The following is a 21,409-nucleotide window of genomic DNA, read 5'->3' on the forward strand; positions in this document are numbered from 1 at the left end:
CACAGACTACTCAGGGGTATGGATTGGCTCCAGCTCTGACACTCAGACCTGAGCAGAGGCGTGATCTACTCTGGCCTCCTGTGTTTCTGTGCCCCACCTTCCCACACTGCCCAGGGCTCCCTGAGAGTGATGCTGAGTCTAGTCTCAGCTTTTATGTTGCTTTGCTTTTGACCTCTGACCCAACACATGCCTCCTTTCCCTCTGAAGTCTTGATTTTCTCCCTGGCTTTTCTCCACCTTCTGGGTGTTCCTTTTTGGCCTTCTTTGCCCATCTCTCCTCCTCTGTCTACACAGCCAGGGGCTCCCCCTTCCGTTTCCTCTGCCTGGAACACACTTGCTTCTCCCTTTCTGACTGGCTATTCAAGCAGGATCCTGTAGGTGGGTGGCAGTGCACTGTGTATTACCTGTGAGCCCTATGCAAATTACCGCACATCTCTGAACCTGTTTTCCCATCTATAAAGTGAAGCTAATAGTAGCAATTACCTCATGGGATTGTTGTGCAATTAGTGGGAAGAGGCATGTAAAGTACTGACATACTGTCTAGTACACAGAAAGTGCTTAATAAATGTTGGTGATTATTATCCAGGACTCAGCTTAATCATCCCTTCCTCAGGCAGGCCTGCCACACAACCGCAGACCGGGTTAGGTGCCGGGTTTTCTGCTCCCCAGCGTTTGGAGGCACTCATCACACATTAATTACTTTATCCATGAAGATGAAAGCTGTCTTTGGCACCCAGATGGTACTGAGTAAATATCTGTGAATGAATGAATGATGTGGAATGTCTCCTCTGGAAGGACACAGTCAGGGCCTCCTGCCACTCAGGACTAGCCTGGATGCACCCACAGGGAAGGAGAAGGTGGGGCTGGTCTCCGCTGGGCCAGCAGGTGGCGCCAGGGCCTGTCGGTCTCTCCCCTTGGCCACCTCCCTTGCGCTTGCTCATCTCATGCCCAGGCGCTGAGGGTTCTCAGCTGGGGCAGGAGAGATGGGGTCCTGAGGCCTGGGTGAAGTTCCAAGCCCTGGGGCTCGGGGGCAGACTCTCGCTCACCCCTCCCAGAAAGATGTTTTCCTAGGGGATGTCCAGCCTAACACGGCAGGGAAGGAAGTGGTGGTCACCTGGGAAAGGGGCCAACCTGAGAGGTTGGGGGTCCTGATGAGGCTGCTATTCTCTTGAGGACATGAAATGAGAGGCGGTGAAGTCAGTCAGTGAGTCAAAAGCTGAGATCTAGGAACCAGACACAATGTGGGAGAAGCTGCGGTGAAATCAATCAGTGAGAGAGGAAGGGGAGGCCCGGTTTCCATGACAACGGTAGTGTTTGTGGCAAGCTGGGGACTCCTGGGTCCCCAGGGCCCGCAAGCAGTGATTCACCACAGGAAAGGGAAGGCTGCAGAGTGACCTGGTGCTGGGGACCGGATGCCTTGTGGCTCCTTCTCACTGCTGAGCATGCATTCCCCCAGCCCAGGCCTTGGATCTCTGCTCTGCCAGCTACTGGCAGGGAAACTGAGGGATGGCAGAACTGAGCCCCAATAAGGGGCAGGCGCTTTGCTCCACGCCGTACATGCACATATCACTTATATCACTTATTGCTCACAACAGTCCTATGGAATTACCGTTATCCCTGTTTTATCAAAGAGGAAACTCTCAGCCTGGCCCACGGTGCCATGGGCAGGACATGAGTGGCAGAGCCAGGATTGGAACCCAGGCTAGCCTGACTCTTTACCATGCTTGGGAAGGCCCAGAAAGCAGAAAAGGAAGAGCAGGAGCATGAGAGTTAGAGGATGGTTCAGACCCCAGAGGAGATGGACCCCAAGGCCCCTAGCCTCCCTGCCTGCCCTGCCCTATGCGAGCCCAACACTGATACGGAGGAAAGCTGGCCAACTGCATGGCCTAATGTGGGCCAGAACCTGGGCAGCCAGCCTACCTCTCACTCTCCTCCAAGCCCAAGAGAGTAGGCCCCAGTTCCAGTCCATCCAACTGGATGGTAGCTCCCCCACCGTTTTCTCTCTGCCCTGGTCCTAGGGGCAGGGGTGCGTGTGCGTGTGTGCGTGCGTGTGTGTGTGTGTGTGATCATCATGTCTACACCACCCACCACCATCACCCCTATCCTCCAGCTTCTGCTATAGCCTGGGAGTTCCCAGCCTTTTAGTCCCTGTCAGGATAGTTTCATTCTTGTTCAGCTTTGGGGCCCACACAATTTCAGTACAAAAGGGGTATGCCCATCTCACCCTGGGCCTTGATAGCATGCAAGAGCATAGTTCAGGCCCTCATCATCTATTCCCTTGTAGTAGAAGGGATGGAGGTTGGAAAGACCTTAGAAATCTTCCAGTCTGGTTCTCTTGTTTTGAAGGTGTGAAAGCTGAGGCTCATAGAAGGGGAGCAATTTTTCTGAGGTCACAGAGCAAGTTAATGGAAGAGTGAACTAGATTCCCTGTCCACAGACTTCAGGTTCTGTAATCCCAGAAAGGACTTCTTGAATTTGGCATTGAGTTCTTAGGATGGGAGTCAGGTAGATGAACAGATGGAGTGAGACAGATGAAATTGGATAACCTAGCATAAAATGCCATGTGAAAAGAAGGTACGCAACTCATGGCCCGACTGTCTACCATGTTACATCAGGAATAACTGAGGTGAGATCATGGGAAAGACTTCTCACATATGTATGTTAGGGGTACAAGATCTGTGGTCAAAATGGGCTGTGTGATCCCAGACAAATCACTTACCTTTTCTGAGCCCCAGTGGTAACTCAGGATACCCTACCTGCAGGCTTGTGGAGAGGATGGAGGGGGTGGTGGGAGAGTACTTGTGAACTGTGGGGTGACATGAATGTTGTCAGTTGTCAGGGAAGGCAAGTCATGTCTAGTGGGACTGAGATAGAGCTACCCTGCAGTGCAAAGGTAAGGGGTAAGCCATGATGCTCACCCCTCCCACCCCCATCCTTGGGAGAGAAAGGGAGGAACATAAACTTCCAGTATGCTTGATACAAGCAACAGTTCTCCCTGGGGGTGGGCAGCAGGTTCCTGTAGACCCCTGGGGTGCCCAGAGGCTGTGGGAAGCTGAGCACTAATTAGCTCTGGCTTTCTAATCGGGCTTAATTGCCTCCTCATGATGGGCAATTAGGAAGCTGCATCAATTAGCACAGGGAGGTGACAACTCAGCTGGGGTTGGTCAGGGCTCCCCGTTGGCAGGGAGGGAGGCAGGCAGGCAAAGGCTGCCCCACTGTCAGCCCCTTCCTTCCCTTTGAAGGAGAGGGCCCTGGAGCCCTCTCCTTAGCAATTAGGCCTTAGTTCCTTAGCTCCTAGGAGCTACTAGCCTTCTAGGCCTGGATTGTGGCTTTTCTGGCCTTGGTTTATTCACCTTCACTGGCTCTCTGACTTTTCTGCCCAGAGGAGACTTGCATTCTGGGCCTAGCTCCACCACTGGCTGCTTTGCAACTTTGGGGTTGACAGCTATGGAGTCAAGGTTGAGAATGTGGCCTTTGAAGCTAGGTCTCTAGGGTTTGAATCCCAGCTCCACCGTTTATTAATTGTGCAACATTGGACCCTTTGTGCTTTGTTTTCTCACCTGTAAAATGGAACTGATAATAAAAGTTCTGTCCTAGCTACACATGAGGCTGGGGCAGGAGGATTGCTTGAGCCCAGGAGTTTTAAGGCTGCAGTGAGGGACAATAGAGTAAGACACCATCTCTAAAAAATAATTTAGGCCAGGCATAGTGGCTCACACCGTAATCCTAGCACTTTAGGAGGCCGAGGTGGTGGATCATCTGAGCTTGGGAGTTCAAGACCAGCCTGGCCAACATGGCGAAAACCCTACAGAGTCTACTAAAAATACAAAAATTAGCTGGGCGTGCTGGTGTGCACCTGTAATCTCAGCTACTCAGGAGGCTGAGGCAAAAGAATTGCTTGAGCTCAGGAGGCAGAGGCTGCAGTGAGCCGAGATGGTGCCACTGCACTCCAGCCTGGGTGACAAAAAAAAAAAAAAAAAAAAGAAAAATGCCCATGTGTCACCCCAGATCAATTACTAATCAAAATATCCAAGACTTTGGGCATTTGCAGTTTTGAAAGCCCCCTTCCTCCAAGCAATGTTGATGCCCAGTGAGGGTTGAGATCACTAGATGAATGGTCTGGAGGGCTCCATCCAGCCTGGCATAGCACCTCCCTGTCACATACCACTCAGGACCCCTCTGCATAGCCCTGGAGGTGCTGCACTTTGGAAGAGAGCTCATTACCACCAGTGTGGCTGGAAGCAGGTTCCTCTCCACTCACTTAGAGGGAGTTCTCCTCTATAAAATGAGAATAATGACCTTGCCATGCTCACCTCCCAGGGCTGCCCAGACATAATGTTTTACTAGTGATAGGACCTGCTTTATAGGTAGGCAATTATATTGTTCCTTCCCTTGAAAAACTTTTATCGAGGTCTAGTGCACACCCATCTCCTTTACACATGGTGACTATGGAGTTAATAATCTCCTGGAGGGACCTGTCCTGAACCATCAGACAAGTTAGGTCATAGGGCCAACCCCCTTTTTTAGCTCCTGCTGGTTATGAAATGAGCCAAGGAATGGAAAGAGCCTAGAACAGGTCCTGACACATGGTGAGTGCTCTCTAAACAGTAGCTCTCCTTACTATTGTTATTGTGACCGTGCCCCAGGCTAGGTTGGAGGGAGGCCTGGTTGCAGTGCACACAGGGAGCTCAGATGAAGGGAGGCAGTGAAGGTGGGGCCTGCAGGAGGAAGGGGAGTTTAGAATGAGGTGCTGAGGAGTAAGGTGTGTGGGAAGAGTAGAGGAAGGAGTAGAGCACATCGAGGTTGCTGGTTGGTGAGGGGGCTATGATGAGGATACTCTACTCAAACATGTATTGAGAACCTTTTGTGCACCAGGCACTGTGCCAGGTGCTGGCAGAGCACCAGATCCACCCAGTCTCTACCCTTGAGGAGTCCCTCTAATGGGGGAAGACACACATACACAGACAATGTCACAGACAGTGTGACAAGGGATACTGGTGGCGAGTGGGGACATTTAATCCAGACTTAGTGGCACTTTTAGCTGAGCCTGGATGATGAGTAGGAGTTGATCAGAGGGTAAAGTAAATGCCATGTCTGGAAAAATTAGTCAGAAAGCAATGAGAGAGGTTGAGATTGCTGGAATTTAGATAAGGCTAGAGATGCAAGCAGAGCCTAGGTCTCGGAGGGCATTACAAGTCAGGTCAAGGAATTTGGACTTATCCTAAATACAATGTGGAGCCACTGTTAGTTTAAAGTCTTCTGGAAACAAAATGAGGCTTTCATTTTGAAAAGATCGCTGTGGGCTGGGCGTGGCACCTCACGCCTATAATCCCAACACTTTTAGGAGGTCAAGGTGGAAGGATCTCTTTGAGCCCCGCAGTTCGAGAATAGCCTGGGCAACAAAGTGAGACCCCAGCTCTACAAATAAAAATAAAAATAATTAGTTGGTTGTGGTTGCATGAACCTGGTCCCAGCTACTCAGGAGGCTGAGGCAGGAGGATCACTTGAGCCCATGAATTTTGGATTGCAGTGAGCTATGATTGCACCAATGCACTCCAGCCTGCTGGATGACAAAGCAAGATCCTGTCTCAAAAGGAGAGAGGGAAGGAAGGAAGGGAGGGAGGGAATCACTGTGGGAAGGAGAAACAATGGGAGCAGAGGCAAGGGTGGAGGCAGAGAGACTGGTTGGGAGGCTGCTGCAGTTACCCAGGAAGGAAGGACGGAAGGAAGGAAGGGAGGGAGGGAGGGAGGGAGGGAGGGAGGGAGCGAGGGAATCACTATGGTTTATAGAGGAGAAAGGATGGGAGCAGAGGCAAGGGTGGAGGCAGAGAGACTGGTTGTGAGGCCGCTGCAGTTATCCAGGTGGGGGTTGGTGGTGAGCAGACCAGAGAGCTGGAGGTAGAACATAGAACAGATAACAATTCTGGAGGTAGGAACCACAAGGACTTGGGGGCTCATTGGCCAAGGGAGATGAAGGAGGAGAGGCTGAGGAAGGAGGAGCAGAGTGAAGCTGTGTGTTGGGAGACATGAACTCCATCTGAGATATCCAAGGAGTGATGATGAGTTATGGATGCTTAGGAATCACTCCTGGTCTGGGAATACTTGGGGTCGTCTTCTAAGAATTCTCAAGAGTGGAAGGCCACTCACCCTTGGCCCAGTGCCAGGCCCTCGCCTTCCCTAGTCTCTCTGGGACAGGCTGGGAATTCCTGGCTCAGAAATACCCTGTTGGGGCAGGCCGGCCTTGATGCTCCCCAGCCCAAAGGGAGGAATGTGCCTGTGCACCTGCTCCGTGATACACGGGGGCGGGACAGTGGAGTGGAGGTGAGTGAATTCAGGGGTGTTCCTCACTTCCCCCATCCTGGACTTCTAGGCTCAGTTGTGGCCCCAGGAATGGATTCTGAGTAAGAGGCCAGAAAGCAAGTTCTCTGGGCCTGGGGTACAGAGGGCAGCAAGGTACAGTTGACATACCGCAGACACCCAGGCAGGGCAAGGGCACCCAGGTTTCAGTCCTGGTTCTGTCACCTCTGGTTAGGAGCTGTGAGCACCCAAGGGCTCATTCTTGTCCTAAAACTGGGTCTTCAAGATGGTTTGGTTTAGGTGGTGTGAATGAACCCTTCCATCTCCACCCTCGAGAGAGCTGAATTTTCCCCCACCCGAGGCGTTCCACAGTGGGCAGAACGCCGCAGCCCAGTCTGCCCTGGCCCACCCAGTGCTCATCTCCATTTCCAGCCCCTCCTGGGCGCCTCTGGCCTCCTGCAGCCGGCTCTTTGCGCTCCTTCATTAAGCTTTGGTTTCTGTGGGAATGTGACTTGAATTAACTCTTGGGAGAAAAATCACAGAAATCAGGAAAGGGGGGCCATGGGGAGGGGGCAGTGAGTCACGTTTCCATGTGTATTTTTCAAACTTTCCGATGGGAGTTTGGAAAACAACAGTCTTTTGGTTGCCAGCTTGGGCCCAGCTCTCCAAGGGTCCCATATGCTGTGTCTATAGGTCTTCCCGTAACTGCTGCGTCCCGGCCCACCCTTCGGGTCTGCCTTATTTCCTGGGATCCCTTCCCACTTCTCCCTGGGGACTTGTGCTGTTGCAGAGGCACTGAGAAGTCCATCCCGTGGTGCAGCTTCCGTCTCTCCCCTGGTTTCATTTCACAGCCAAGCCCTCATCTATCCTTGCCTCAAGGTGGACCCATGGGGGCTGCAGCTGAGCTGGGGACTTTGTCCCTGCAGCTGCTCTGGCCAACCCTCCAACCCTGGAGAACCTCCATAGGCACCAGGAAGTCCTGGGCTCTAGGAACCTCCTTCCTGCCCCCACAGCTTCCTCTTTGTGTCCTGCCTACCAGTCCTTCCCGCCCATCTCTGCATCCCAGTTTCCAGAGGGCCTGTGGCTGAGGGTGAGAAGCCAGCGATCGACCCCCAGGGAGAAGTCTTGCAGAGGAGGGTCCTCATCCTAATGAGGCCGCCAAGGAAGAGGGCCCCCAGTATGCCCCTCTTGTGTGCTGGGCCCTCGCACTTCCTCTGTCTGGGACTCCTCTAACAGCTGTGGGGAGGGTGCCAGGATCCCCATTTTGCATACAGTAGCTGAGGCTCAGCCAGGAAAATGGGTGGGAACCTTAAGGATGGTGGGCAGATGGTGGCCCCCTTGAGGAGGAGATGGGAGGGCAGCGCATACCCCTAGCCAACCCCTCCTTGCAAGCCCTCATTCGGGCGGGGAGAAGGAAGGGGTCCTGGACTAGCTCTCCTGTGTCCCCTCTCCGGGGGCTGCCCCCTCCCAGTTTCTGACTAATCCTTTCCATCGGCAGTGGCATGTCCTGCCCCTGCTGTGCCTGTGCCAACAACAGCCCACATCACAGGGCCACATCTGGCTCCATTTGAACATACCCCACCCTCCCTGCTCTTTATCCCTCAACGCCCTCCCCTGCCCAAGGACCAGAGTAGGGAGTGGCCCTCTGGACCCCCTTCTCTGGCTCCACCAGCCCTGCTCCCCTGCCCTTTCGAAGCCTCTAGTGGAGTCACTCCTTTCCTTCCCCGAACCCGGCCTCAGTTCCTGGGACATCCTGGCTCCATTCTTCAGCACACCCTCCCTCATCATATCCACACTCCTTGGCTCCCCCCTTCACAGCCCCCACTGAAGGAGGGATTGGGAAGGGGACATTTTGCAAGGTCTGAGCCCCAAGAGATGTCCCAGAGTAGAGGGAAGGCCTGGCAGCCCAGGGATTTTCCCTTAGCCCAGCTCTCTGGCATATTGCCAGCTTGGGCGTGTTGGGCGGCAGGGGTCGGGGTGATCCCAAGAGGTGCGTGTATGGAGGGGTATAGCTCAGCCTCCCAGCTCGGGTGGGGAGCGGTGGCTCAGGCCTGTGTAGGCTGGCTTTTGTTGGGGAGGAGCCTGGAAGGGCCTGCAGCTACTGGCCTCCCTCCTCCTTCCTCCTTGCTTAGCAACTGTTGTCGTCTGGTAAATATTTGCCCCAACAGGATCTGGGGCTGGAGCACTGGCGTCAGCCGAGGTAGTTGCCCCCTCCTCAATTTATGAGTCTCCCCTCTGTTCAGTTCCCTATTCCAGAGCCCCCTGGACTGGATTCTAAATGTGGTCCTCACCCCCTCCCTCATGGTTGATTTCCTCCCCAACCTCTTCCCTGTCTCCCTTTTACTCTCCTTCATCCCCACTCATCCTCTGTGCCCAGGTCTCTCTCGTCCATCCTCCACTCCTGGATCCATTCACCAAGGGGCCTGAGTGAGGTCCCACCCCCTAAGCCACACAGGTCCTCTGCTTCTCCCCCGCTACATCTCACTGGGACCCCAGCCTGGCAACGGCTAGTGCGTCGTCGGTGCTCAGTTAGCCCCAACATCTCTTTCCTTTCCTCCAACAGGAAACACACCTTCCACCTCTAAACCTTAGCTCCACCAAGCTCCAAGGGGAGAGAAGAGAGGGCATATGGGAATGTTTTGCTGGACCCCATACTGCACTCCCAGGCCAGGAAGCTCTGCATCAGGAAGCCAGCACCATTTTCACCTCCTCTGGGGTAGGACTGAGGGGACCATGGCCAAGAGGAAACAGATGCCCCCTTAGCTCCTCCCTGGGTAGCCTGAGCGGGCCAGGGCCTGAGAGCATGCCAGTTTTAGCCTGTCTTCCTGTCCTTCCCAGCCAGACCCCTCTCATCCTCCTCCCCCAGTGGTTTTCTCATTACCTGTCACTGACGGAGAGCCCCTCAGAGGTCAAGGCCAAAGTGAGGTGGGCTCTTGGCATGCTGTGCAAGCTTGGAGCTCACCCGGCAAAGAGGGCCAATGGGGTGCTCCTCTGGGGCGGGCCTGTGGGCTGGCTTAGGGATAGCAGACAGGGGAATCTGGGGAGTTGGACTAATGTGGATCTAGAAGGGAGGTGGTTGGGCTGCACGATGCCTTAAGACTCCTCCCAGCTCTGAAGTTCTACTTCTAGGCAATGAATGATGAAACGCTGGCCCAAGTGCAGTCCCTTCCCCATCCCACAGGGCGGAGACCCCAGCCATCCCTACTCTACTTGGCAGCCCCCCTCCCCACTCCTCCTGAGAGTGCCCCTTGCTCCACCCCAGCGGCCAGGAAATCTCCTGCAGATTCACCACCACCCTCCTGGCTGGGAGTTCACTTTCCTAGTTGACCTCCTGGCCTGAGGGCCAGAGGAGAGCTTTCAACGGGGACCTTGAGGAGTGTGAGGGCTGCAGGGGCTGTGGACTGGAGTGGATTCACCAGGGAGCAAAGGAAAGTGAAGTTTCAGGGCCTCTCAGTTGCACGGGCCCTTTCAAGACCCGAAGAGGAGCCCTGCCAAACTTTCCACATGATCCCATGTCCATAACATTTGCAAAAAGATCATTTTGTATTTCTTAAAGAGGGCCTCCCCACAAAATTGTGTGCACTTTAGGTAGGATGAACAACTGTCCCTATTTTAGCATTAAAAGTCCCTTATCTGGCCAGGCACGGTGGCTCACGCCTGTAATCCCAGCACTTTGGGAGGCCGAGGCAGGCGGATCACGAGGCCAGGAGACCGAGACCATCCTGGCTAACACGGTGAAACCCCGTCTCTACTTAAAAAAAAACAGAAAACAAAAAACAAAAAAATAGCGGGGCGTGGTGGCTGGCTCCTGTAGTCCCAGGTACTAGGGAGGCTGAGGCCGGAGAATGGCGTGAACCCGGGAGGCGGGGCTTGCAGTGAGCCGAGATCGCGCCACTACACTCCAGCCTGGGAGACACAGCGAGACTCCGTCTCAAAAAAAAAAAAAAATTCCCTTATCCTAGGAGACTCCTCAGTCCCCGGCAAACCCAGGGCAATTGCCCACCCTAGTTTCAGGCTCCACAAACATTTGGCCCACACTGGGTTGAGGGTGAGGGAGAAAGGGAATCCTTTTCTGCCTCACTTCCTGGAAATGTGTAGGGGCGTGAGCTATGGGGCGAGGGGGCCCTCTCCTCCAGCTCCAGTCCTGGAGTTGTGGCGCTTCTGTTTGTTTCCTTGGCAACAGGGAAAGGAAACCCCCATTTAGGAGGCCGGGGAGGCCCCAGCAACCACACACACACAGAGACACACAGACTCACACGCGGCCGCCCACACGCAGTCGCCTGCGTCAGCACCAGCCGTCAGGCCCTCGCTGCCCGCCTGCGGGGTGTGGAGTGGGGAGAACAGCCCCGCCTGAATCCAGTCCGACTACCCGCCCCTACTGATTTGCCTGGGACGCCGCCGGCCCACATGGCCCCACCCACGCCTCTGTCCCCACCCCCCCACGCCTCTGTCCCCACCCCCCCACCGCCCCCGGCAGCGTTCCCCCCTTAACACCTTCCCCCAGGTGGTGAGGGGCCAAAGCTCGGGGATGGACAAGAGAAAGGAAGGAGATGTCACTGCTGAATTTCTGCTGAATTTCCTTCTGCCTGCTGCCCGATTTCTATTTGACTGGCAATAGTCTGGTGTGTATTGTGACAGTTCAGGGAGCCTGAGACTCACAAGTGAGGTGGCGATTTGGGCCTGGTTGGGTGGGGGAGGTGGTTTGGAATGCCGGGAATGGAGCTCCTGGGGAGACTGTAGGATTTTGCTGTTGGATTGGGTTCCTTGGGATCTGGGTCGAAGAGGGAAAGAGTATATTTAACCTGGAGGCAGAAACCTGGGGTTTGGGCCTGCTTCTGTCACTTGTCAGCTGTGTGGCCTGGAGACAATCAGTTAGCCTGCCTAAGCCTCTGTCTCCTCAGCTGTAATATGCAGATAATGGTGCTTGCCTGTGCACCTCAAAGAAATTTGAGAAGGCTAAGGTAGTAACCTTGATTGTGAAAAGCTTGTCACCGGGGGGACTGGGGCAGGTGGGAGGGCTTGGTTACTACTTATCCAGTCGCCCCTCCAGCCCCGCTGGCTCAGTGAGCCCAGCAGCCACTTCCCGACTTTGTAGGAACCCATGCCAGTCCCTAAGTGGACCTGCTCTTTGACATCTGTCCAGTGTGGCTGCCCTGTCTCCCATGGCAGCGTGGCACTGAGCTGCAGTGCTGTCTTGGAGGTTTTGACCCTGCCTGGCTGTGTGACTTTGGGCAAATCTTTCCTCCTCTGGCCTCAGAATTCCACTTATAAAGAAAGGGGCTTATTCCTCAGAGCCCAGGGGCCTCCTGGAAGTGGGCTGGGGGGATCAACCAGGCAGGGGCCTCAAGCTCCCTAAGTAGAGAAGCTCTGCCTCTGTCATTTAGTAGATTGTGCTTTTTGGGTGAGATTTCATTTGAGTGAGGGGGATCTCTGACTTTACAAATAGCTGTCATTCACTTGCTCCATCTAAGGGCCCGCTTCTCACCCGGCACCACCTATGAGCCTGCCTCATTCCCCCTTGCTGAGCCTGAGAAGAAATCTACTCAGCTGTGCTACCTCAGGTCAATTACAACCTCGTGGAGTTTGGGTTGTTGTTTTTTTTTTCTTTTTTTTCTTTTTTTTTGAGATGGAGTCTCACTCTGTCACCCAGGCTGGAGTGCAGTGACATGATCTCCTGCCTCAGCTCCCTGAGTAGCTGGGATTACAGGTGCATGCCACCACGCCCAGCTGATTTTTTGTATTTTTGGTAGAGATGGAGTTTTACCATGTTGGCCAGGCTGGTCTTGAACTCCTGACCTCAAGTAATCCACCCACCTCAGCCTCCCAAAATGCTGAGATTACAGGTGTGAGCCACTGCTCCCAGCCGGAATTTGGGTTCTTGACACATAAAATGCAGATAATAATACCTACCTCATAAGATTGAGGTGAAGATTAAATGGGATCACCTCCATATAGCCCCTAGCCTGGTTGCTGGCACATGGCAGCCCCTTAAAGAGTAGGCACGGTCTTCCACTGTCAAGGTTATAACTATCACCTGCACATGAGTGACTCAGCACTTCAATCATTGTTTAATACCCTGTAGTCAAAGGATGAATAAGACCCTCCCTCAAGAACTCACTATAAAGAGATTCCCAAACCATGTCCCAGAATCTGTACATCACCTCCACCTCCTCAGACCCTCCTCCAAAGAGTCGCCTGTCTCTGACTCCTACCTGTCCAGGGTTCTAGCCACCTGATGGTAAGATCTTGGCTTTCCAATTCAGGCAAACTCGTATTAAAATTTCAGTTCTGGCTGGGCGTGGTGGCTCATGCCTGTAATCCCAGCACTTTCGGAGGCTGAGGTGACCAGATCACCTGAGGTCAGGAGTTACATGGTGAAATCCCGTCTCTACTAAAAATACAAAAAAATTAGCTGGGCTAATTTTTTAGTGGCGCATGGTTGTAGTCCCAGCTACTCGGGAGGCTGAGGCAGGAGAATCGCTTGAATTCAGGAGGTGCAGGTTGCAGTGAGCTGAGATCGTGCCATTGCACTCCAGCCCAGGCAACGGGCGAAACTCCATCTCAAAAAAAAAAAAATCCAGTTCTGTTACTAACCATATGACCTTAGACAAGTGATTCTCAATAAGGGGTAATTTTATCCCCCAGGGGATGTTAGGCAATGCCTGAAGATATTTTTGATTGTCATAACTGGGAATGGAAGTGCTACTGGCCTAAAGTCGGGAGAGGCTAGGGATGTTACAAACCATCTCAGAGTACAAAGAACCTTCTCTGACAACAGAGAATTATCTGGCCCAAAATTCAGTAGTGCCAAGGTTGAGAAACCTGACCTTAAATGAATAATTTAACCTTTCTGGGCTTCAGTTTCCTCATCTGTAAAATAGGGCTATTAATAGTATCTACCTTGTAGAGCTATTGTATTGGTCCAACAAAATAATGCAAGTACCTAGTGCCTAATAATAAAGGTAGTCCATAAATATTCCCTACACGAATGGTTCTTAGCATGCCTCTGGAATCCCTCCTGGCTTCATCACTGGGCTGAACCCACCGGACCCTAGTTTGGCTTATTTCTTGCCAAGGCCAGTGCTCCTGACTCTTTCTTCACTGGTCTTGATGCTTTCCTTCTCTCCTTGACCTCAAGGCCTATCAAGCAGCTGGAAGCCTCTCCCTCAGGCCCCATCCCAGCACCAGGCCCCTGCCTCCACCTCCCACTTCTCCCTTCCCGTCTCTCTTCCCCCTCTTTCCAGCCTTACCTCTAGTGGCTCCCCATGCCCCTTGGCAGGTCAGAGCACACTCAGCTTTTTCCCACTTCAGCACCTCTGCACAGACTTCCTCCAGCCAGAGTGGCAGAAGACAGAGAAGCATGTCCAGGATTTGGACCAGACTGCCTGGTCCCAGTTCTGCACTGGGCCTGTTACTTACGGCCTAGTTTTAGGAAAGTCAGCCTCATCTGCAAAGCAGGGAAATAATTTCCAACCCATGAGGTTGTTGTATGGACCCAGTTGAGAATGTATGAAAACATGCAACAACTATAAAGATTGTTAAAATGTAAGTTATTCACTGTGTGAGCATTATTCTGCTAAATGTATGCATGTATGTATGTGTGTGTGTGTGTGTGTGCATATATATATATATATACACACACACATATATATGTAATTTTTTTTTTGAGACAGGGTTTCTCTCTTGCTCAGGCTGGAGTGCAGTAGTGCAATCACAGCTCACTGCAGCCTTGACCTCCCAAGCTCAGGTGATCCTCCCATCTTAGCCTCCTGGGTAGCTGGGACTAGAGGCATGTGCCACCACCCCCAGCTAATTTTTTTTTTAAGAGATGGGGTTTCACTATGTTGGCCAGGTTGGTCTTGAACTCCTGGGCTCAAGCAATCTGCAATCTGCCTGTCTCGGACTCCCCAAGTATTGGGATTATGGGTGTGAGCCACCATGCTCAGCCTCTGCTTTATATTTTTATTTCCATAGCTCCTACCGTGTTCTAACAAACTATAACTTTGTCTTTGGTTTATTGACTGTCTCCCTCCACTAGAATGTCAGCTCCATAAGGGTAGGGATTTTTGTCTGTTTTATTCACTTCTGCATCCCTGGTGTCTAGAATAGTTCCTGGTATATAGTAGATGTTCAATAAATATTTGTTGAATGAATGAATTCTCTGTGTATAAGGCAGTTCTGTAAAGCCCCTAAATCTTCCTTCTCCAAGAAGCCCTCCTTCAAATGTATGTAACCTTATTTAGTTATTGCACATCCCCATTTTACAGATGATGAAACTAACGCTGGAAAAACTTGTCCAGAGTCACTGACCTGAAAAGTGGCAGGGCCAGATGCATTTGTTTATCCAAGAAACCCTGAGAGGGCTGGGCATGGTGGCTGGCACCCGTGATCCCAGCACTTTGGGAGGCTGAGGTGGGAGGATCACTTGACTCCAGGAGTTCAAGACCAACTTGGCAACATAGTGAGACCCCCATCTCTTAAAAAAATAAAGAGGCTGGGTGCGGTGGCTCATGCCTGTAATCCCAGCACTTTGAGAGGCCAAGGCAGGCAGATCATCTGAGGTCAGGAGTTCGAGACCAGCCTGGCCAACATGGGGAAACCCTGTGTCTACTAAAAATATAAAAATTAGCCGGGTGTGGTGGTGGGTGCCTATAATCCCAGCAACCCTTGAGGCTGAGGCAGGCAAATCGCTTGAACATGGAAGGCAGAGGTTGCAGTGAGCCGAGATTGTGCCACTGCACTCCAGCCTGGGCAACAGAGCGAGACTCCAACTCAAAAAAAATTAGAAACACCGAGTGCCTGCTGTGTGCCAGGTGTTAGGGAGACAGATGACCAAGACTTGGTCCTTTCTGTCCCTCACAGCACTTTCAGGAATGGGGGTCACAGAGGAAACACTAGGATGCTATAAGAACACAGAGGAGCCCCCCCACCCAATCAAGGTCATTGGTCTTCAAGATAAAGTGCCTAGGCCTGGTGCAGTGGCTCATGCCTGTAATCTCACACTTTGGGAGGCTAAGGTGAGGGGGCACTTGAGGTCAGGAGTTCGAGACCAGCCTGGCCAACATGGTGAAACCTCATCTCTACTCAAAATACAAAAATTAGCCGGGCGTGGTGGCACACGCCTGTAATCCCAGCTACTCAGGAGGCTAAGGCAGGAGAAGCGCTTGAACCTGGGAGGCAGAGGTTGCAGTGAGCTGAGATTGTACTGTTGCACTTCAGCCTGGGTGACAAGAGCAAAACTCTGTCTCAAAAAAAAAAAAAAAAAATTCTCAAACCGTCCGTTGGACCCAACCACTGCATGCTGATTTCACTCATGCATGCTCCAGCTCCCAGACTTCTGGGATCCCTTTGGAATTCATCCAATTCAGAGTCCTCTACTGCTCTTTAATCATTTGTGCTTGTTGGTTTTGCTTCTCCCTCTGTCTTTCCCACTGGTGGGAGGCTCCCTTGGGAGCAAGCATAGTATTGCTATCACCCTGTGGCATAGTGTGCAGAACTCTTGCACACCCAGGAGCTCAGTCCCCGTCTTTGATAGCCACTCTACCCATACTACAGGTAAGAAAACTGAGGTCCAGAGAATTCAGTAGCAGATCTAGCATCACTCAGCAGTTAAGAGGTAGGATTAGAATGTGGTCACCCTCTAGCCACCACTCCCATCACCTCTCACCTCCAGCAGGCTCAGCTCCTCTGGACCTGGCTGCTGCTTCTGGGTTGGTGATTTTTGCCCTGGCAAAGGGAGAGCAGACTTATGACATCTGGAGTCCAGAGTTAGGATTGAATATTCAGGATAAAGTTTCACTTTGAAGTTCAGATTTAGGATTGAGGCCATTTTGATGGTGGTCGCAGGGAACCTTTAGAAAGAGCTTGGAGTGAAATTTGGGGTGAAAGCCCTCCTTCTTTCTCCTGCACCTTTTCCACAAGATGGGGAGGTCTGGCCAGACACAGTGGCTCACACCTATAATCCCAGCGCTTTGGAAGGCTGAAGTGAGGATCATTTGGGGCCAGGAGTTTTAGACCAAATTGGGCAACATAGCAAGGCTCCGTCTCTATCATGATAGCCTATAGTCTCAGCTACTCAGGAGGCTGAGATAAAAGAATCACTTGAACCCAGGAATTCAAGGTTGCAGTGAGCTATGATCCTGCCACCGCACTCCAGCCTGGGCGACAGACCAAGATTCTCAAAAAAAGAGCGGGGAGGTCTAGGACAGGAAGGGTTAAGTGTGGTTTAGCTTTCCCAGCCTGGAAAGGAAGCCAGGCCAAGCAGCTGGGTAGGGGAAAAGGGGGCACTGAGTGCCAGGGAGGGGCTGAGGCAGTGGGAACAGCATGAACCCTTCCCTCACGTTTCACTGGCTTACCCCTCCTGCCTCTGCTTCTGGTGTGGAGAAGAACAAGACTTTTTATTGTCTGGGAAGCTGAGGGTGGGTGCCACGCCCTGGGGGAGAGAAGCCATATTCTGGGCCCCCTCATCCGGGTGCATCCCTAGTGCTCACCATGCTGCCCAGGCACCCTCACTGAGATGAGAACTTTCCTTGTTCCCCTCCCCTAATAACCAAAGTTCCTGCCTTAATCCCACTCCAGTCCCTCATCCACCCCGAGGCCAGGCTTCAGAACCCAGAACTGAGGGCCTGTCCAGCCCTGCTTTCCTTGTGTTTGAGGGAAGCCCTGATATCTTGGAGCTGTACAAGGTAGCAACATAATTTGATTTCCCTGGTTGCTCATCGGAGGATAAGCTGTGGGAGGCAGTTGGGCAGGGCATGCAGGCAGATGGGACCCAGGCCTCAATGCTGTCACCTCTTAGAGAGGATAAGGTGGGACGGGCATGGTGGCTCACATCTGTAATCCCAGAACTTTGGGAAGCTGAGGCAGGCAGATTACCTGAGGTCGGGAGTTTGAGACCAGTTTGGCCAACATGGTGAAACCCCATCTCTACTAAAAATAAAAATAAAAAAAAAATTAGCTGGGCTTGGTGGCAGGTGCCTATAATCCCAGCTACTCAGGAGGCTGAGGCAGGAGAATCTCTTGAACCCGGGAGGTGGAGATTGCAATGAGCTGAGATCATGCCACTGCACTCCAGCCTGGGTGAGAGAGCAAGACTTAATCTCAAAAAAACAAACAAACAAACAAAAAAAACAAACAAACAGAGGATGAGGTGGATGGTGGGACCAGGATAGGGGCCAGGATGAGGGGAGGGGAGTGGAAGGCTTATCAAAAGGGTCCTTGGTGAGGCCTGAGGATGGAGGCTCCAGAGCCTGAGGTAGCGAACCCTGGGGACCTGAGTGATCTCGTTTTGTGAGAGAGCCTGGCCCCTCCCCAGAGCCAGCTGCAGAATGGACCTGGCCAGAGAGGAAAGTAGAGATGAGTATGGTGCTGGCCTTTGCAGCCAGCAAGGCTGTGGGGTCTTTGCTGTTCCTGTCCCCCACTACCTTCTTGCCCCCCACTACCTTCTTTCTGGCTGAAACCAGGATAGAGACCCAATATTGGCTGTCCAGCCCCCAGCCCTGCTTCCCCTTTCAGGCCCCTCTGGGAACCACAGAAATCTGGGACCTAGTGTCTTGGCAACGTAATGAATGCATGCACAGCTCTGGTATCTGTTTTAAATTATCCATTAAAATAAGTACAGTTCTGGGGGAAAAAAATAAGTTGACTGGGTGCGGTAAGCAGTAGAAAGGGACTGAAGGGGGAAGGAACCCAGGCAGTGCTTGGGTCCAAAGGAAGGGGACAGGAGATGGAAGGGGCAGTGCCTGGCTCCTATTCTTGGCTTTCTTTAGGGGACTTCTTTAGGGGACTGTGGCTTGTTGCTTGGGTCTAAAAACGAATGCTTGGCTTTGAAGAGAGATAGATTGGGGCAAAAGAAAGAAAAAAAGGGACCCCCCAAACTCCTTGATCCCTGGCCCCAAACTGGGGGCATAAAGGAACTCAGGTTCCAGAACTTTGCTCCCCCCAGGGAACCCAGGCATTCCTTCTCCACCCCACTCCTGGCACACTGAGATGCAGCTCTGAATGGGCTGCCCACGTGTGGAGGGGGGTTGGGGTGACTCACTATTACTACTGGGAGGACAGGGGGAGCCAGTGGTGGAAGAAGGGTGAGTCACACTGATGGGCACCAGCCTCAGCCCTCCCCCCACTTTCCTGGCTCCCAGCCCTGCCTACCTGACCCTCTCCCTTGCTTTGCGCCCACTTCCCTCTCTTTCTCCCCGACCCTTTTGCCCACCCACTCTCCCTCCTTGGCTCTGCCCTCTAGCCCAGAAGGTCTGAGGCAATGGGGGCAAGCTTGGAGCCGACAGTGCTGAGCAGGCAGGAGCCAAGAGAGGGGAAGCTTGAGCCTCACGCAGTTAGGGGTGCGCTGGAGAGGGTGGGGCCCGACTCCGCCACACCCCAACGGTCCTTCCCCCTCCTCACCACTCCCGCCCCCACCCCCAATGGATCTGGGACTGCCCCTTTAAGAGTAGTGGCCCCTCCTCCCTTCAGAGGAGGACCTATTAGAGCCTTTGCCCCGGCGTCGGTGACTCAGTGTTCGCGGGAGCGCCGCACCTACACCAGCCAACCCAGATCCCGAGGTCCGACAGCGCCCGGCCCAGATCCCCACGCCTGCCAGGAGCAAGCCGAGAGCCAGCCGGCCGGCGCACTCCGACTCCGAGCAGTCTCTGTCCTTCGACCCGAGCCCCGCGCCCTTTCCGGGACCCCTGCCCCGCGGGCAGCGCTGCCAACCTGCCGGCCATGGAGACCCCGTCCCAGCGGCGCGCCACCCGCAGCGGGGCGCAGGCCAGCTCCACTCCGCTGTCGCCCACCCGCATCACCCGGCTGCAGGAGAAGGAGGACCTGCAGGAGCTCAATGATCGCTTGGCGGTCTACATCGACCGTGTGCGCTCGCTGGAAACGGAGAACGCAGGGCTGCGCCTTCGCATCACCGAGTCTGAAGAGGTGGTCAGCCGCGAGGTGTCCGGCATCAAGGCCGCCTACGAGGCCGAGCTCGGGGATGCCCGCAAGACCCTTGACTCAGTAGCCAAGGAGCGCGCCCGCCTGCAGCTGGAGCTGAGCAAAGTGCGTGAGGAGTTTAAGGAGCTGAAAGCGCGGTGAGTTCGCCCAGGTGGCTGCGTGCCTGGCGGGGAGTGGAGAGGGCGGCGGGCCGGCGCCCCTGGCCGGCCGCAGGAAGGGAGTGAGAGGGCCTGGAGGCCGATAACTTTGCCATAGTCTCCTCCCTCCCCGGAACTGCCCCCAGCGGGTGACTGGCAGTGTCAAGGGGAATTGTCAAGACAGGACAGAGAGGGAAGTGGTGGTCTCTGGGAGAGGGTCGGGGAGGATATAAGGAATGGTGGGGGTATCAGGGACAAGTTGGGGCTGGGGCCGGCCTGAATTCGGTCAGATTGGGATTTGCCAACTATTTGGAGCCGGGGGGAGGGGCTTGAGCAAAACAGAACTAGCCCTGCCAGCTCGAAGAACTCTGGGCACCCAGGACACATCGGAGTGGCAGAAAGGGTCCTGTTAGAACTTTGTTAGCGGGCTTGGCACTGTGCTAGCTTTGCCCAAGCTGGCTCTGAACACATGATGCCCACTAAGACATAACTCTCAAGTTGGCATCTGTCCAGCGTGTTGGAGCGAGGTCAGGAAGGCAGGGCAATCCCCCTTTTCCCTCCCAAGGGCTTGGCGGTGGCCCCCCCTCAGCATGACCTTGTCCTGGGTTCTAAGGGTTGGGAAGTTCTCCCTCACTCTGCCACTCTGCGTGTCTGGGACCTTCCTTGGGCTCTGACAGGCCCACCAAAAGAGCTCCGGGAGATGAGAGATCGGCTCCCCCGCAGCTCCCACAGCCCTTGGCCTGCTTGGCCCAGGAATGCAAGGGAGGGAGGGAGGCAGAGGGCAGAGGCTCCCAGCTCAGGAAGTTGTGTTATGCCCAGGTCTGGCCGCACTCCTCCCTTGGCCCTCTGCCTAGTGTCTTCGAGGGTTGGGGGCACTGTCCTTCCCTCCTTGGGGTGAGCCACTTTCATTTTCCCAGCGGGGCCAGGCAGTCTTTGCTCGGGCCCATCCTCTTAGCTGCTGACGTTTTGATCTTTGTCTTATTGAAGTGCTGGAATACAGTGACATTTTTGAAATCCAGCCGTTGGAAGATTCAGGCCACTCCCACTTTACCCACCCCTGCCCCACCCTACCCCACCCTACTCAACTGCACCTTCTTCTTTTCTAAAAAAGCCTTTGGGAGCTTGGAAGTATAGGCCCTCTCTTCCAGCCCCATCAAAATTTGTTTCCCTTCTTCCTGCCTTCCCTTTCTCTATGCAGACCCAGGCCAAGAGCACTAAGGGTGCTTGGAGATCCGTAAAGGGCTGTTGGCTTTGACTTCTTCTCTCTCTTTTATCATCTACTCCAAACTTCTGCTCTTCCTAGAACCCTTTGCTAGGTGTGGTTTTGTTGCCCAGGCTGGAGTGCAATGGCACAATCTCGGCTCACTGCAACCTCCGCCTCCCAGGTTCAAGTGATTCTCCTGCCTCAGCCTCCCGAATAGCTGAGATTACAGGCATGTGCCACCATGCCGGGCTAATTTTGTATTTCTAGTAGAGATGGGGTTTCTCCATGTTCGTCAGGCTAGTCTTGAACTCCCAACCTCAGGTGATCCACCCGCCTCAGCCTCCCAAAGTGCTAGGATTACAGGCATGAGCCACCACGCTGGGCCCATCACCCTTCTTTCTGAAGAGTCAATGGAAGTTGTGTGTAGGAAGACAGGCTTAACGGTTTTTTTTTGAGACAGGGTCTTACTCTGTCACCCAGACTGGAGTGAAGTGGTGCGATCTTGGCTCACCACAACCTCTGCCTCCCAGGCTCAAAAGATTCTCCTGCCTCAGCCTCCTGAGTAGCTGGGATTATAAGTGTGTGCCACCACACATGGCTATTTTTTTTTTTTTTTTTTTTTTTAATTTTTAGTAGAGATGGGGTTTCACCATGTTGGCTAGGCTGGTCTCAAACTCCTGACTTCAAATGATCCACCTGCCTCGGCCTCCCAAAGTGCTGGGATTACAGGTGTGAGCTACCATGCCCGGCCATCAACCTTTATTTTGTTTTTTTGAGACGGAGTCTTGCTTTGTTGCCCAGGCTGGAGTACAGTAGTGTGACCTCAGGTCACTGCA

The 21,409-nt window shown here is 53.4% G+C and overlaps 1 protein-coding gene across 20 annotated transcripts in view, besides 12 other annotated features; it reads left to right on the plus strand.

The window, feature by feature from the left end:
* The window catches only part of LMNA (lamin A/C), a 57,509-nt gene that overhangs the window by 13,333 nt on the left and 22,767 nt on the right, over nucleotides 1–21,409 (plus strand). For 12 of the 20 annotated variants that reach the window (NM_001406999.1, NM_001406986.1, NM_001407000.1 and 9 more), the window contains exon 1: nucleotides 18,806–19,369. Coding sequence is in view for 10 of the 20 variants with exons in the window: in NM_170707.4 (NP_733821.1) it covers nucleotides 19,014–19,369 (356 nt within the window). In the remaining 10 variants the exon portion in view is untranslated. Of the gene's footprint in view, nucleotides 1–10,810; nucleotides 10,919–18,764; nucleotides 19,370–21,409 lie in introns of those variants that run through there. The other 8 variants (NM_001406983.1, NM_001282625.2, NM_001406984.1 and 5 more) reach the window with 4 other exon arrangements.
* Nucleotides 1,001–1,250: an enhancer, noted in NCBI's record as "active region_1838". NCBI's record gives its function as "activates an Ori minimal core promoter by ATAC-STARR-seq in GM12878 lymphoblastoid cells {active_cell/tissue: GM12878}" and the evidence as "EXISTENCE:reporter gene assay evidence [ECO:0000049][PMID:35858748]".
* Nucleotides 1,565–2,438: an enhancer, noted in NCBI's record as "H3K27ac-H3K4me1 hESC enhancer chr1:156067261-156068134 (GRCh37/hg19 assembly coordinates)". NCBI's record gives its function as "activates a minimal SCP1, AML or CMV promoter by ChIP-STARR-seq in naive H9 embryonic stem cells {active_cell/tissue: H9 hESC(naive)}" and the evidence as "EXISTENCE:reporter gene assay evidence [ECO:0000049][PMID:30033119]".
* Nucleotides 2,121–2,280: an enhancer, noted in NCBI's record as "active region_1839". NCBI's record gives its function as "activates an Ori minimal core promoter by ATAC-STARR-seq in GM12878 lymphoblastoid cells {active_cell/tissue: GM12878}" and the evidence as "EXISTENCE:reporter gene assay evidence [ECO:0000049][PMID:35858748]".
* Nucleotides 6,607–11,153: an enhancer, noted in NCBI's record as "VISTA enhancer hs2129". NCBI's record gives its function as "enhancer in: heart[14/17]" and the evidence as "EXISTENCE:transgenic organism evidence [ECO:0001131][PMID:17130149]".
* Nucleotides 6,607–11,340: a biological region, named in NCBI's record as "VISTA enhancer hs2129".
* Nucleotides 7,621–8,364: an enhancer, noted in NCBI's record as "H3K27ac-H3K4me1 hESC enhancer chr1:156073317-156074060 (GRCh37/hg19 assembly coordinates)". NCBI's record gives its function as "activates a minimal SCP1, AML or CMV promoter by ChIP-STARR-seq in naive H9 embryonic stem cells {active_cell/tissue: H9 hESC(naive)}" and the evidence as "EXISTENCE:reporter gene assay evidence [ECO:0000049][PMID:30033119]".
* Nucleotides 9,109–9,852: an enhancer, noted in NCBI's record as "H3K27ac-H3K4me1 hESC enhancer chr1:156074805-156075548 (GRCh37/hg19 assembly coordinates)". NCBI's record gives its function as "activates a minimal SCP1, AML or CMV promoter by ChIP-STARR-seq in primed H9 embryonic stem cells {active_cell/tissue: H9 hESC(primed)}" and the evidence as "EXISTENCE:reporter gene assay evidence [ECO:0000049][PMID:30033119]".
* Nucleotides 10,378–10,597: an enhancer, noted in NCBI's record as "active region_1840". NCBI's record gives its function as "activates an Ori minimal core promoter by ATAC-STARR-seq in GM12878 lymphoblastoid cells {active_cell/tissue: GM12878}" and the evidence as "EXISTENCE:reporter gene assay evidence [ECO:0000049][PMID:35858748]".
* Nucleotides 10,597–11,340: an enhancer, noted in NCBI's record as "H3K27ac-H3K4me1 hESC enhancer chr1:156076293-156077036 (GRCh37/hg19 assembly coordinates)". NCBI's record gives its function as "activates a minimal SCP1, AML or CMV promoter by ChIP-STARR-seq in naive H9 embryonic stem cells {active_cell/tissue: H9 hESC(naive)}" and the evidence as "EXISTENCE:reporter gene assay evidence [ECO:0000049][PMID:30033119]".
* Nucleotides 11,341–12,082: an enhancer, noted in NCBI's record as "H3K27ac-H3K4me1 hESC enhancer chr1:156077037-156077778 (GRCh37/hg19 assembly coordinates)". NCBI's record gives its function as "activates a minimal SCP1, AML or CMV promoter by ChIP-STARR-seq in naive H9 embryonic stem cells {active_cell/tissue: H9 hESC(naive)}" and the evidence as "EXISTENCE:reporter gene assay evidence [ECO:0000049][PMID:30033119]".
* Nucleotides 18,569–18,718: a silencer, noted in NCBI's record as "silent region_1420". NCBI's record gives its function as "represses an Ori minimal core promoter by ATAC-STARR-seq in GM12878 lymphoblastoid cells {active_cell/tissue: GM12878}" and the evidence as "EXISTENCE:reporter gene assay evidence [ECO:0000049][PMID:35858748]".
* Nucleotides 19,029–19,118: a silencer, noted in NCBI's record as "silent region_1421". NCBI's record gives its function as "represses an Ori minimal core promoter by ATAC-STARR-seq in GM12878 lymphoblastoid cells {active_cell/tissue: GM12878}" and the evidence as "EXISTENCE:reporter gene assay evidence [ECO:0000049][PMID:35858748]".

This window comes from Homo sapiens, chromosome 1 (genome assembly GCF_000001405.40).
Source record: "Homo sapiens chromosome 1, GRCh38.p14 Primary Assembly".
Taxonomy (NCBI): Eukaryota; Metazoa; Chordata; class Mammalia; order Primates; family Hominidae; genus Homo; species Homo sapiens.